Source organism: Homo sapiens, chromosome 13 (assembly GCF_000001405.40).
Source record: "Homo sapiens chromosome 13, GRCh38.p14 Primary Assembly".
Taxonomy (NCBI): Eukaryota; Metazoa; Chordata; class Mammalia; order Primates; family Hominidae; genus Homo; species Homo sapiens.
The window spans coordinates 45,187,847-45,203,865 of NC_000013.11; the positions used below are offsets into that span (position 1 = coordinate 45,187,847).

Sequence of the window (16,019 nt, forward strand, 5' to 3'; positions counted from 1 at the left end):
TCATAATTTATTAGATTGGCATGTCTTTAAAATAGCATTATCACATATGTAACTCCTTACTGATTTTATTTATTTGTTTGAGATGGGAGTCTCACTCTGTTGCCCAGGCTGGAGTGCAGTAGCACAATCTCAGCTTGCTATAACCACCTCCTGGGTTCTAGCGATTCTCATGCCGCAGCCTCCCAAGTAGCTCAGATTACAGGCACGCACCACCATGCCCAGCTAATGTTTATGTTTCTAGTAGAGACAGGGTTTCACCATGTTGGTCGTGCTGGTCTTGAACTCCTGACCTCAAGTGATCCACCCGCCTTGGCCTCCCAAAGTGCTGGGATTACAGGTGTGAGCCACTGTGCCTGGCCCCTGCTGATTTTATATTGCTGACAAAACAGCTGCTATTATTATTTTGTTATTGTAGATTTTGACATGAAGCTAGAAAATAAAAGTCCCAAGAAACCTATTATATCTATTTTAAATGAATAGAATGAAAACCATGCTTGCCTATAGCAATTTAAAGTACAGTCTTGTGTTTTGTAGTATCTCATCACAGAATTAAACATGTGCTTGTTAAAAGTTCTCCATTCTATTCATGTGTAAGTAGAAAGCCTAATTAATGTAAATGTGCATTTTGGGGAGACCTGTTCATGGTTATGCCATGAAAATACTTTTTACTGGACAAGATAATAATTAGTGCTTTATCAAAAGTTCATGAAGGTGAAGTACTTTACATACAATTCAGAATTTAATTTAAACCTTGCAAAAGCCCTGTCAAATAGTTACTATTATCCTTATTTTACTGTGAGGATGTTGAAATTTTAAAAAGTTAAGGATCTTGCTTATAATCATGTAAGCAAGTTAGTGGAAGTTAATGGAATTAGAACCCAAGTCTAACTCGAGAGCCCATGTGTGTTTCACTGTGCTTTTTTCTCCTAATATGTCAGTTCTGTGGATTATACAGTCATAAAAAGTTAACCTATTTTTCACCAAACTTGATATGTGAAAATCTTATATTCACCAGCAGACAAATTTGTGATATTCTTTACTGTTGTGAGATGGATGATTCACTTTTTTTTTTTTTAATTTAAGTTCTAGGGTACATGTGCACAATGTGCAGGTTTGTTACATAGGCATACATGTGCCATGTTGGTTTGCTACACCCATCAACTTGTCATTTACATTAGGTACTTCTCCTAACGCTATCCCTCCCCGGCTCCCCACCCCACAACAGGCCCCAGTGTGTGATGTTCCCCTCCCTGTGTCCAAGTGTTCTCATTGTTCAACTCCCACTTACGAGTGAGAACATGTGGTGTTTGGTTTTCTGTCCTTGTGATATTTTGCCGAGAATGATGGTTTCCAGCTTCATCCATGTCCCTGCAAAGGACATCAACTTACCCCTTTTTTTTGGCTGCATAATATTCCATCATGTATATGTGCCACATTTTCTTTATCCAATCTGTTATGATGGACATTTGGGTTGGTTCCAAGTCTTTGCTATTGTGAATAGTGCCGCAATAAACATACGTGTGCATGTGTCTTTATAGCAGCATGATTTATAATCCTCTGGGTATGTACCCAGTAATGGGATGGCTAGGTCAAATGGTATTTCTAGTTCTAGATCCTTGAGGAATCACCACACTGTCTTCCACAATGGTTGAACTAATTTACATGCCCACCAACAGTGTAAAAGCATTCCTATTTCTTCACATCCTCTCCAGCATCTGTTGCTTCCTGACTTTTTAATGATTGCCATTCTAACTGGCATGAGATGGTGTCTCATTGTGGTTTTGATTTGCAGTACCATTGAGGACATAGGCATGGGCAAAGGCTGTTGTGGTTTTGATTTGCAATACCATTCAGGACATAGGCATGGGCAAAGGCCATTGTGGTTTTTATTTACAATACCATTCAGGACATAGGCATGAGCAAAGGCCATTGTGGTTTTGATTTGCAGTCAAAAATCAATGGGTTGCAAATTAAGAATTAGTAGACTTCCTCAATTTTATACTTTAAAATTATACTTTAAAAATGGTATTTGCAATACTATTCAGGATGGTATTGCAAATGGTAATACCATAGGCAGTACCATTCAGGACATAGGCATGGGCAAGGACTTCATGACCAAAACACCAAAAGCAATGGCAACAAAAGCCAAAATAGACAAATGGGATCTAATTAAAGAGCTTCTGCACAGCAAAAGAAACTGTCATCAGAGTGAACAGGCAACCTACAGAATGGGAGAAAATTTTTGCAATCTATCCATCTGACAAATGGCTGATACCCAGAATCTCCAAAGAACTTAAACAAATCTACAAGAAAAAAACAACCCCATAAAAAAGTGGGCAAAGGATATGAACAGACACTTCTCAAAAGAAGACATTTATGCAGCCAACAGACATGTGATTCACCTGTTTTTTAAATGACATGACATTAAAAATATTACTTTTCTAAAATTCAGTTTTTCACTCAATGTTTTAGGAATACTTGCATTATAAGGTTGTATCAAGTGAGGCAAACCTATATTTTGGTATTCTGTATTCAACACCTACCTTGTGAATGCCTGTTTTCTGCCACGTTCTAGGTGTTAGGGATATAAGTGGCTTGCAAAATCAGACGTGGTTTCTGTTGGCTCTGGTACAGGTATACCTGGGCTTCAAATCCTGGTTCCACCTCTTTATAACTATGTAATCTTGGGCAGGTTACTTAACCCCCTAAGTCTCTGTTTCTTCATCAGTAAAAAGGAAAGAATAATTAATACCTTTCTTAGAATTGTTTGAGGTTTAATTGAGAGAATGTATGTTCCTAGCATGGTATCCGGCATATAGTAAAATGCTTAATAAATGTTAGCTTTTTTTATCACCCTAAAAGTAAGTAACATTTGAAGTATAAGTTTTGTGGGGGTTTTTTTGTTTTTGTTTTTGTTTTTTTTGAGACAGAATCTCGCTCTGTCACCTAGGCTGGAGTGCAGTGGTGCGATCTCGGCTCACCACAACTTCCACCTCTCAGTTAAAGCGATCCTCTCGCCTCAGCCTCCCAAGTAGCTGGGATTACAAGTGTATGCCACCACGTGTGGCAAATTGAAATACAAGTAATTTTCTTTAAAAAAAAAAAAAAAACTGAATAAGCTGATTCAGTAACATCATCTTCAGTCTGGCATGGTAGTCATCTTCCTTGAATTATTTGAAAAGTCTCGTGTTTCATTTGTTCTGTATACCACCATATATACATTTTAAAAATATAGTAAAAGCCGGCCGGGCGCAGTGGCTCACGCCTGTAATCATAGCACTTTGGGAGGCCGAGGTGGGTGGATCACGAGGTCAGGATATCGAGACCATCCTGGCTAACATGATGAAACCCCGTCTCTACTAAAAATACAAAAAAAAAATATATATATATATATATATATATATATATAGCCATAATCTCACATTTTAAGGATGGTGCTAGAGTCACTGCATGGGGTAATTCCAAATATAAGAGAATATATGTTTGGCTCATGGCAACTATAGTAACCTACTTTTTTATTACCTTTCTTTTGAGAAAGATAGTCACTTTGTGATTTGTTTTTTGGAACAGTATTTACTTATGAGAAAAAATTTGAGAAATAAATTTTTCAGTAACTGGGAACAGAAATACTCTGAAAGCTTCACTCTGACTTATAAGTGACATTTTGTGTGATTTCTTGAGTTTCTTGAATGGAAAGTATTTCTGAATATATTTAGAAAATACTAACATTAAAATATAGATATTTTCTGTATACTTAGAGCACAATATTTAGGCATTTGAATATATAAATCCAAGTACAAGTAATTTGGAATTTAAAAAGGTACATTTATAAAAAGTTACAAGGGTGGTCAGTCTAGTCAGATTTCCTTCTAGATTACTAAATTGTTTTAGAACATTGTGATTTATTAGAAGTGTGAGGAGGAATTAAATGTGTCCAGATACAAGTTCTAAAAGATGCTACATAAAAATGAATCTGATATTTTTAATGGTTTCTATCAATAATAACTTTGTTAAGATAGTTAAATTCTCCTCTTTGGATTTGATAAAAAACCTTACTTGTAATGCTTCTAAGGAGATCTGTTCAGCTATATCTCCTGTAAAAAGATATGTCAGGGTTATTTTTATTATCCGTAATGAAATCTTGTAAGAGAAAATCTTGCTCTGACAGTAAATCACTACCTTTTTTTCATTACCAAAGTCCAAATGCCAAGGAAAAGTCAACTCCTAAGTTGGAGAGGCATATAAACAGTTCAATTATAGTGGCTATTCAAATAAATTTTACAATTCTTTTCCTGTTTTTATAGTTTTGTTCAGTCTTGATTAAGCTGTTTTAAAGTATGTAAAAGATAATGTTTTAGTAGAAATCTGTTTTTCTTAGTATATATAAAAATATTATGTAGCTAATGTGGAATTTGGTTTTTAAATGTGATTTTTGAAGGAATTTTTTTGTAGAACAGATTTTAAAAGGTTTCTTTTAGCATATACAGCCAACTTTTACATTACATTAGATGTTATAACTAGAAGTCAGTTATAGTTCTGGAAATGAACATTAGCTTTACTTATTCTAAGTTTTTATGAGTCATCAAACTTTTGGCATATATGCTAATTTATGTAACCTCAGTCAAGATTTTCAGACATCTTCTTGAGATTATTAAAATTAAGATTTAGTTACCAGATTTAATCGTTTAATTTTAAAAGAGCAAATTTAAATATATTTTGTTCTTAGAAGTTAAAGAACAAGTGAAATGATTTAGCTGTCCTTTGCAGGGGGAAAATACACTCATTTAAAGTTAAGTTTGTAGACTACTTCATTGAAACGGCCATACATAAAACGTAATTTTTAAAAATAATTTTTTGTTTGGCATGAAGTAATGTTAACTCACTGAGTCTGAGATTTAGCATCCAAAAAGGTATTGAAAACAATCAAAGTTCTTTCATAAGAATAATGTTTAGTGATGTTCATTTAATATTTTTGAGCTTGAAAAATGAACAGATACTTAGGATGATTCTGAAAATGAACTCCTTTATTATTCTAATAACAGATACTCTATTGAGACTAAGTTACCCATGCTTTGTGGGAACTCAGCCTGCAAAGAATTGAATTTGCTGGTTTTTGTCACTTCCAGGACCAGCCAGGGTTCCTGTAGCCTGCCGGTTGACATCAATGCATAATTTTATGCAAAATCATCAAGTGGTACTGTTTGCTTTTAAAGTGACCTGTAACTTTTTATTATAATCATTAATACAATCAAAGAAGGTAGCAGTGCTTTTATTTACTTTTTATTGTCATCAAGCAGTTTTCTAGGAATTTTCAGCAAAATACCAATTCAGCTATAAGTCTAATATGAAACACAGGAACTGTGAATATAAGCTTTTGGTGCTTGCTATGGAAAAATCAAATCAATAGCTTTAATGTCTTCTTACAATCTCATTTTGTTTCACTATAGCTCTGTTTTAGTTAGATCTGCACATCTGTTTTGCTCCAGGTAGTTAATTTTGCCAGTTCAGTTTCTCTGTAGATTTTTGCCATAGTAGAAAAGGATTTTAAATATTAATAGCCCCTTAAAATATTTTATTACCATTTACTTAAATGAACGATAGATAATGTACATGCTTTCTTTTTTGTGCAAATACCCAAGACAATCTGAATTGAAAGACAGCTTAAGGACAAATAAATAGCAAAAGCTTTCAGTCTTTATTTACAGTATATAGAAGGTTACTGTTTTCATTTTAGGTGGAAGAGTCTGATCAGTAGGAACACCCCAGAGGAAGGACATCTTTAGCGATAGAATTTACATACCGTTAGCTCACAGTAATTGATTAGTAGCAGGGCTCTGTAGTACAGAGCTAGCTGGGCATGTTATTTGGGATGTCTTTGATGCTGTGGTTTTCCGAAGCTTGCTGGCTGCATGCTTGTTGCCTTTGTTCGTGACACAGGTAATTACTTGATAAAATGAAGTGCATCGCTGTGAACAATTGACCCTTTGGAACAATCCAGGCTGGTCAGCAGTCTAAAGCCACACTTTAAAGCCATCATGATAGCCTCAAACTTAAGAGTTTCCAAGGTACAGACAAAGGTGTTGTCTTCCTTTAGTACAAGTCGAGTGCCATTTTCAGACTTTATGAAGTATTTAAATTGGATGATATTTGACGATATTGAAAACTCCTCTGGAAATCCATCCAGCCTGCTTTTGGACACCAGAACAATGCGAGACTTTATTTTTGATATGAAATCAGGAGCATTACAGAAGATTCTTAATCCTTGTGAACGATCGTGGTTATCTGTTATTTCCAAGAAAGTAGTCTCTCTGGGTGTTAGCTGTTCTTTCTCCCACCTGGATTTCACTTCCTCTGCCAGTCCCTTGAGCTGAAAGAATTCTGCTTCTTGTGCAAGAAGTTGATTTTCTCGAAACCCTTCGGGCAATAGAAGTTCTCCATTTCGTAGGAAGTTTAGGACATGCCTGAAGAGGAGACCATCCCTGTCTATGAAATAATGACCATCAGCATCAAACGGGCAGAGGATTTTTCCATTTACTATACCTTCAAGGAAAGTGTCTGGGTACTTGGTCAGTGTTTGTTTTTGAGTAATGTATAAATATCCACCAACGTTGAGGGTCATCAGTGTGGATTTGCAGTTCTTTCCTTGATCAGTATCTTCCAGGCTGTTGTGTTTCCCTTCATACTCCTTTTCTTTTTCTCTTCTGTTTATTTTACGCTCCATTTTTTGAAGATGCTATTTCAGCTTGTTCTTCTTGGCTTTGAGATTTTTTAAAAAGAGACACTACCACACAAGCACGCCTTTATTCAGCCCCAGCCTGGTGATGGAATGGAAACGCTGGCAGCATCGCCTGCGCTGTCAGCTCGGTTTTGCAGTAGGTGGCGTATCAGCCTATGTATGCAGGAGCTTTCTGGAGTAAGACGGAAAAGAGAATTTGCATTTAACTGTATCAGGGAAGGGATTTGTTGTGAAAGGATTTTCATGTCTATCCTTTGAAGTAATAAGAGTTACTCAGAATAAATTGAATTTCCTCTTGTCAGTTAAGCAGATCCAAATGTTTAATTCTTCATCCAAATGTGAATGTTTAACTATTTCTAAATGCCTAAGTTATTTTTTAATCAGGCAGGCTTAATGTTGAATAATATTGTCATCTTTTGGAAAATAATGTATATTGATTTAGTGTCATCTTTTTAAAGTAAATTTAAGTAGGAAACATAAGGTGAAAATTCTAGGTGTATACAATTTTCTTTCCCGGAAAAAGTCACACATTTCAAAGTATTGTAGTCATTTTTGAGACACAAATAAGAATACTTAACCTGCTACTTGTGACACTGCACTTGAATTTAATTGGATTTGCATATGATTCTGATTTGGAGATCTATGTTAAAGGATGTTAAGAATTTTTTTTATTTTTTATTTTTTATTATTTTATTTACCCTAAAAGTAAAAAAAAAATCAAATAGGCTTTACAGTAATCACTTAATTTTTTTGCTTAAGATTTTCTGTGGAAAATTCATGAACTTGTTTCACTCGGAGCCTGCTTCTGTGCTGAACAAAGACTTGGACAATTATAGAAAATACTGTGACTGTGTATGTGCATGCATGTATATACCGTAGGAAGATAGGAGAAAGATCTAGATTCAGAATACCTACTACAAAATAGTGTCATGGGTAAGTTAGTTTCTTGTTTGTTTGTTTGTTTGTTTCACAGTGGGCAAAATAAATCACCAAAGCCTAACCTTGTTTTTCAACTTGGGAGCTGGAACAGTGTGAATGATGTCACCCTCCACTTCTCACATCTTTTTCCTCTTTCCCCTATAACTTCCCTTCCAAAGCAATTTAGGGTTCTGAGGTTTCACTTCTAGCATTTAAAGGCTCAGTGGTAAGAAATGTAAACATTGTCCCCAGTACACTATTATTTGGCCTATCTGCTAAATTATTCTGGGAAACTACATTGTTTTTTGTTGTAGTTTTAGTTTTTAATTTATTTTTGTAGAGACAAGTTTTTGCCATGTTGCCCAGACGGGTCTCAAACTCCTGGATTCAGGTGATCTGCCCACCTCAGCCTCCCAGAGTGCTGGGATTACAGGCATGAGCTACTGCGCTGGGCCACACTGTTAAAAGTTAGACTTTAGTTTATATTTCTCTTGCATTAAAAGTATTTTAAAATTATTTAACTGTATGTTGACATAGGAATATTGGAAGAGATTCTTCTAAAATGCATACTTCTTATTTTCTTTAAACAATATTAGATTTTCAGGTATAAAAAATTATATTCTTATAGTGATCTTGAAGTTAACATTTATGTATTATTGAGATCAAAAGTTCGTTGAAATCGAACTAGAAAACTAAGGCATAATGTTTTTAGAGCTGTGTTTTTGCTTAGAGACTGTGAAATTCAACTTCCTCATTTCACCAAAGATAACATTGCATTCCAGAGAATTTTTAGTATTTTATCTAGGACTTCACAGCAAAGCCAACATTTTGACTAAAACGTCCTTTACTCCTGCAGCACTTAATAAGACTTACTCTTATATTCTGACAATCTCATGTTTGTCTTGATTTTGCTTTTTTAGATTAAGTCTTTTCTGTCAATACAACTTTTTAAGAAATACTGAATAGATTTTGAGGGAGAAGGGATACAACTCTGGAAGTACATTCATGGAATTCTTGTGTTACCATTACAAATAGTCACTGCACATGAGTAGCATCATATAATAGCAAAATCAAAAAGGCATAACAATTTCATTTATAGGTATAGTCCTCTTTTTTTGAACTTTATAGGATACCAGAATTAGTACAACATAACTGTAGTATAGTGATGGAGACTGTGCTAGCATGTTCTTGTTTAAATAAAGTGATGTGGATAGATACTATGTACTCTGGGTCTGCTTCCTTACACCCTGTTTGGCCTGTCTATAGATGTCTTCATGGGAAGCCCCAATGCTGTTGCTGTTGGAGGATAGGCTTCCATGAGGTGATGAGAAGGCAGGAGTGAGTCAGGACAGCTGGAAGTGGGACTGCTGACCTTCAGTCATCACCCCAGGGCCACCTTACACTTCCTAGCTCACTCACTTTTGGTTTCTCCTGCCAGGTTTTCAAAACCACTGATGAGTGCTCGTTTCTGCAGGCTTGCCTGAACAGACTCTGAACCATTCCATCTTGTGCCTCTTCTCCTTGATTGTTTTTTCTCACTCTAGACTTCACTCTGGTGTTCTTCTGCAAAGTTGACATGTGTGATTTCTTTGCCACCCATGGCCTGGCAACAGTAGTATAACTGAAGCTTTGTCTTAGTGCCTGGCTTATACAAATCCATAGGACTTTTGTGTCCTCTTTGGCCCAACTTGCAGACTTAAAGAAGAAAAATGTAGGCCGGGCATGTTGGCTTATGCCTGTAATCCCAGCACTTTGGGAGGCTGAGGCGGGCAGGTCACTTGAGGCCAGGAGTTTGAGACCAGCCTGGCCAGTATAGGGAAATCCTTTGTCTACCAAAAATTAAAAAAAAAAAAAAAAATTAGCTGGGGTGTGTTGGTGTATGTCTGTAGTCCCAGTTACTTGGGAGGCTGAGGCAGGAGAATCGCCTGAGCCCGGGAGGTGGAGGTTGCAGTGAGTGGAGATAGCGCCACTGCACTCCAGTCTGGGCAACACAGTAAGACCCTGTCTCCAAAAAAAAAAAAAAAAAGGCACCCAGTAGGCCCCGCTGTATGCCTAATACTCCATATTACCTCCAGCAAAGCAAGATGACTGTAGTTCATGGAAATTATAGGAGTTCATTGATCATTGCTGCCTGTGGTGGTACACATGCCCCTTAGGAGAAAGCCAGATTATCTCGTTTTAGTCTATTCTAAATTTATATTTACTTGCTAGGGGGTGGCGAGTGGGTGTTGCTTGTCCAAGGTAATATCTGTAAGGTCTCCACAGCCCTAAAACTATAAAAATGGTGCTTCAGTACCTATACCAAGGGAGACATCCCTGGATCATGGGACTATGTTTCTCTGCCTTGCAGATACAAACCGGAACTGCTCAATTTAATGGTTTCAGCAGAAGGGTTTAAACCACACATGTCAAAGATTAGCTTACCTGGATCCACTTGGCCACTAGATTTGAAGATTTTATCTGCCTTTGCAGGCAAAAACATATAAAAATTTGAAAGATTGGGGTCCTGTTTCCTACTCAGTACCTTAACTCTTTATTAGAGTTAGATCACCTCTGTCTTAGACAGCTTTAATCATATATAACCAACTTTGAGAATTTAAACTGGTCCTTAGTATGAGTATATCCTATAGTTAATTGGGTCCAATGCCTAACTAAACTCTGGCAGAACCTTCCACTATGAGGTAATACTAATGTCCTACCATCTGCATAAGGCAGAACTCATTCCAGCAGGAATTCCCATCTTTTTACCAACTCCTTATGGGAAATGAGGTCTTTGTCATCCCGTGATTGATGCAGGACATCATTGTAATATATACACTTGCTCCATTTATATGCCAGAGATACTCCCATGCCATGGAAGGAAGTGAAACCTTACCAGGAGGTTATCCCTCCCGACTGGAAGATACAAAAAGTATGATAATTCTCCTAGACTTAACAGATCATTCCTCTATAAAATTCAGACACTCTTCAAGGAAAAGGAATGGTTTTAGAAGCTGCGTTTGATAAGAACAGGGAGCTTCTGTCTCCACATTCTCCCCTGCTATCAAATCTTGGTTGTTGTCAGCTGCATGCTTCTCTGCTTGTCTTTTAAAAGGATTTCATTCCCATTACCTTAGAAAGAAAGTAAAAGCTAGAGAAGCTGCTGTCAACTTTTTACTTAAATCTGACAGTATATCTCTGCCTTGGACTTGCCCACATTTTTTTTTTGTTTTTTTGTTTATTGATCTGTGTTTTGACCTTCCTCTGCCTTTCACAAGCTGAGTTTCTTTTTTTTTAACATGTACTTGCTTCATTGCCTCTTGTCAATAGCACTGAATGTAAGAAACATTCATTTTGATATTGAGGTATGAATATTTTGTGTTGGCTTCTTTTGTGTGTTAAAAATAAAAATTACACTGTCTAATTATTGACATGTTTTAAGAATCAAGGATTTTCCCATGTTAATGTAATTCTTTTTGAGTGTCCAAATTTTAGTTCTATTTTGAAATATAAAATTTATCTGCTCTAAATGTTGTCTGCTACTGGTATTACACTAACAAAAGTACTATGGCAGCCACTTTATGTAACTGATTGACCACAGCATCTCACAAACTGTGCCAAGTACTTGAACCTTCCTAGGACTAATAGGACGTAACCTCTGGCCACAAGGTCGTGTGAACATGTCATTGCAGTCCAAAGAATACAGCTGTAAATATTTTGCAGTGTTGAACTGCGTCTTCAAGGAAGCCCAGGAAAATTGCCTACATTGGTAAATGTTTTAGCTTCATTTGAGGAGTATAGAAAAACATAAGGCACTATGTGTCAAAAGGAGCACAAATAAAGACAACAGACTAGCTCAGAAGTTCAGGTGAAATTCCATTCCACATTTCTTTGATTTTCACTACAGAGGCAATCTTGACAATTTATAAGTCATATTAATTCATGTTTTACATGTACTTTGGAAAATGAGTATTTCAGGGAAACCTGTGTTTTATAATTTTGTAAGCAGAAGTCATACCTTAAGTTTTTTAAAAATGAAGTTTTTTTTTGAAATATAACCTGTGCGTTATTATTTACTGGAAAATTCTATTGTAACCAGATGAGCATAGCACTTATGTAAGCCATCAAATGAACATTAAAATTATAATATTGTACAGAACTCATTTTTATAGTGCTATTTGGCAAAATGCAATTTTACTTTCTCTTTGGGAAGAAGATATTTTAAGCTAATAACCATTATCTACAATCTCAAAATGAAGGGCATAACTTTGAAAACTCTTGTAAAGGTAGTACAGTTAGGAAGTAAATGACTAAAGAGGGTCTCTGTTACCGTATACTAGCGCCTGCCACTGTTCCTTCTGATTTTCTCATCACTTAACATCTGCTTGTGTCTTCAGTGATGAGGTGGTGTGGAGAAGAGAGAAGAGGATCTGAACAGGAGAACAGGATGTGATGGCTCAAGGGAGCAAATGTGGTTTCTTACAGAGTAGGGAGGAGTTATAAACTAGGGATGGAGAACTCTATCATATCACACATTTTTTTCATATTTACCATTTCTATAACTGAGGTACATCTTAATATCGTTAGCTTGTCAAAGTTTAGCAGCAGTATTTTGTCTTGGTGGCACGTAAAATAATGGTTGCTATTACAAATGATAGCATCTTATAGTTGATGAAATATTTGAGCAGCTCTGTGAGCTATTCCCTCCGTATCACAAGAAAGTAAAATTAACAGACAGGGAGGAGGGAAAGAATTTTGCAGGGAGATGAGAGAGAGAGGGAGAGACAAAACAATGTGGCTGCTTGATGTTAAAATTAGGCAAATTATTTTATAACTTTTATAAAATTAAATTTTATTTTTTGATACAGGGTCTTGCTCTGTCACCCAGGCTGGAGTGTATTGCAACCTCAACCTCCTGGGCTCAGGTGATCTTCCTGCCTTAGGAAACTCCCGTATAGTTGGGGCCACAGGCATACCCCACCATACCTGGCTAACTTTTTTATCTTTTTGTGGAGACTGGGTCTCACTTTGTTGCCCAGGCTGGGCTCAAGCTATGCTGCTGCCTCAGCCTCCCAAAGTGTTGGGATTACAGATGTGAGCCACCATGCGTGGCAAAATTCCTGAAGATCAAATAGAGATCAGAATATTACTTCACAAGTAAAGAGCAGCTTTTTAATAATACAGGGATAGAAAGTTTGCCTAACTGGTTTGTTAAGATGCTAGTACCTTTTATTAGTAGACCTCAACTCAGAACCACAGGCAAAAAAACTTCTAGGAACATATTTTAAATGAGAAGAAAGGAGACTACTAGGAATATTAAAAATGGTTTGCCTTTTAAATGTACCTGCTTCTTGAAAAGATTATTTCTTCAGTCTTTTCCCAGAGAGTGTCGACACAGGTGTGATGTAATTAAGAGTCAGGAGAGTAAGGAGAGTAACTTCGAGGTCTGGAGGATCAGCCTGAAATGTTGGTCAGTAGTCCTCTGGTCTGGGTTTTTACAGGAGCTGGAAGTTCTCTTAAAGGCCTCCACATTCAGCTGGATCCAGAAGGTCTTGTGGAAATGAATGAGTGTAACTTCCTGATGCCTAAGACTTCCTAACATACTTGATTTCATTACTTACATGCCAATGCTAATAAGCAGTGTTGCTGCTTGCTTATTCCTTTAACTTCTTCAAACTAGGGATGCCCTTAACTTTTTAAAAAAAGTGCCAGTATCATTTCTCCTCAGTTCTTTGACATAGAGTGTATGTCAAGTTCAGATATAGGGCAGGATAATCCAGCATAGAGCACAAATTTAAATATTTTCAAGCCTTGGGCAGCTTCTTAACATTTTGTTATTCTCTTTCTATTCAAAGAAAATTTAATTATATCTAGGTCTTTTGGAAAGTACTAGAGCAAACAAAATAACACTAATGAAATAATAAAACATCCCCAGTTGGAGAGGAAGGCTAGCATTTTTATTTAGTGAAAGAGACCTAGAAGAGATCTCAGACATTCTAGTAATATCATTATTATGGATGCTGAGGCCCAGAGATGTAAAATAACTTCTCCAAAGTAACACTGCTGTTTAGTGACAGAATCTTAACTAGAAGCCTTCAGTTCTTTTTATAGGATGTGCTTTATATACATAACCTTTAAAATTTTCTCTCGAGTTTTTTCTGATTTTAGGTGGTGGGATATACATAAATTACCATCATCAAAGATGTGTGTTCATACTCAATAAGATTCTTTTGGTTGCAAGTAGCAGAAACCAGTCAACAAACCAATCTAGCCAAAAAAGGAGTGCGGGGGAGAATTTAGAAAGAATCCCATACTATTTCCCAGAATCCAAAGAAGAGCAAATGGCCAAGGAAAAGATATGAATTGAGCCATTCCAAAGCCTTTGGTAGGATGAGTTTGTGTGGCTTCTCTGCAGAGTGCTGGCAAGACCATGTCCTTCTAGTAATTGGTGGTGTGAGCCCCTTAGTTGAACATTTCAAGCACAAGAGCGAGCAAGCACAGACACACAGAGGCCATTCCTACCACCTTCAGTACTCTTCCTTCTTACCCCCACCCACCCCAGTCTAAATCCTACCCATTTTTCAAGGTCCAGCACAATCATTGCTTATTCTTCAAAACTCTTCTTGGCCTGGCGTGGTGGCTCACACCTGTAATCCTAGCACTTTGGGAGGCTGAGGTGGGCGGATCACCAGAGGTCAGGAGTTCAAGACCAGCCTGGCCAACATGGCAAAACCCCATCTCCACTAAAAATACAAAAATTAGCCTGGCGCAGTGGCACATACCTGTAATCCCAGCTACCCAGGAGGCAGAGGCAGGAGAATCGCTTGAACCCAGGAGGCGGAGGTTGCGGTGAGCCAAGATCGCGCCACTGCACTCCAGTCTAGGCAACAGAGCGAGACTCCATCTCAAAACAAAACAAAACAAAAAACTCTTCTTGATCTCTAGCTAGACATCTGAGTGGGTGTGTGTGTGTGTGCAAGTACATGTGTGTTTAATCCCAGTACTCTTGTATGTTTCTATTTTATGACCTTTAACATATTCAACTTGACAGAAGAATCCTACAGCACATATGGAATAACCAGTAATTGGTCAGTTACATTAAAAGATGGGAAATCATAAAAATGATATCAATATGCAGTTCCTATCTGCCTTAAACATTTTATCTTAAAACTTATAAATGTACGTTTAGTTGGCTGGGCACGGTGGCTCACGCCTGTAATCCCAGCACTTTGGGAGGCCGAGGTGGGCAGATCACGTGAGGTCAGGGGTTCAAGACCTGCCTGGTTACCATGGTGAAACCCTGGCTGTACTAAAAATACAAAAATTAGCTGGGCATGGTGGCGCACGCCTGTAATCCCAGCACCTCAGGTGGCTGAGGCATGAGAATTGCTTGAACCTGGGAGGCGGAGGTTTCAGTGAGTTGAGATTGCACCACTGTACTCCAGCTACTCCAGCCTGGGTGACAGAGTGAGACATCATCTCAGAAATAAAATAAAATAAAATAAATGTACATTTAGTTGCTGATGTATATGTAAGACAAGGCCTTTGCTTTGAATATAGGATACTGACTGACCATCTGTTTTCTTTGTTTTTCAAAAATTAAACCCATCATTTAGTTTTTCAGTCTCATTCTGTCGCCCAGGCTGGAGTGCAGTGATGTGATCTCAGCTCATTGCAACCTCTACCTACAGAGTTCAAACAATTCTCATGCCTTAGCCTCCCAAATAGCTAGGACTACAGGCATGCACCACCACGCCCACCTTTTTTTTTTTTTTTTGGATTTTTAGTAGAGAGACGGTTTCCTTGTGTTGCCTGGGCTAGTCTCAAACTCCTGGCCTCAAGTGATCTGCCCTCCTCGGCTTCCCAAAGTTCTGGGATTACAGGCGTGAGCCACTGCACCTGGCCCCATGATTTAGTTTAGATTTTCGATTTTGGTTTCTTTGAAAAGGAGCAAGAACTTAGACACTGTGAAACTATCTAAATGCAGACTCTTTCTAGACTCCTGTGCTTCCCTTTCAGTCTCCAGTTGTCTCACCTGTACCTAATTTGACAGTATTGTGTTACAACTTAACTTTATATCATCTTACCAAAGCATTCTACATAGTTTTTATAGAAACACCCCCCAAACTCCCCTCATACTTGCAATTTAATGGGCTTCTGTAATATATAATCAGATTACATAATTATTAAAACTAATATAGACAAGTTCTAGCATCGTTTGAGCAGACGTGTGTGGGAGTACTAGAGATTAACCTATTACCCACTAGTATATAGTGACTGTGGGCATCTGTCGCTATATTTAATAGCAGGCAGTTGAGAGCCTTTGTTAATCTAGAGGTGAGTTAAGTAGAGGTGTATCAAAAGTGCTTCTGGTGTATTAAGATGA

General features: G+C 37.4%; 2 protein-coding genes across 4 annotated transcripts in view; one reads left to right on the forward strand and one right to left on the reverse strand.

The window, feature by feature from the left end:
• The window catches only part of GTF2F2 (general transcription factor IIF subunit 2), a 164,384-nt gene that overhangs the window by 67,337 nt on the left and 81,028 nt on the right, over positions 1-16,019 (forward strand). Inside the window, exon 1 of one of the 3 annotated variants that reach the window (XM_017020551.2) lies at positions 7,511-7,669. The exons of the other annotated variants lie outside the window; for them this stretch is intronic. Coding sequence (XP_016876040.1) covers positions 7,666-7,669 — 4 coding nt within the window. The 5' untranslated portion in view covers positions 7,511-7,665. Of the gene's footprint in view, positions 1-7,510; positions 7,670-16,019 lie in introns of those variants that run through there. 3 annotated transcript variants of the gene reach the window in all.
• KCTD4 (potassium channel tetramerization domain containing 4) lies at positions 5,007-13,199 on the reverse strand. Its single transcript, NM_198404.3, has 2 exons — positions 12,978-13,199; positions 5,007-6,908 (listed from the first exon to the last, which is right to left on the reverse strand). Exon 2 carries the CDS (start codon positions 6,719-6,721, stop codon positions 5,942-5,944), a length of 780 nt encoding a protein of 259 aa, NP_940686.2. The 5' UTR covers positions 6,722-6,908; positions 12,978-13,199; the 3' UTR covers positions 5,007-5,941.

What these genes read in the sequence shown, in the direction of transcription:
- KCTD4 (NM_198404.3), bottom strand. Translation starts at nt 6,721, where the DNA reads ATGGAGCGTAAAATAAACAGAAGAGAAAAAGAAAAGGAGTATGAAGGG.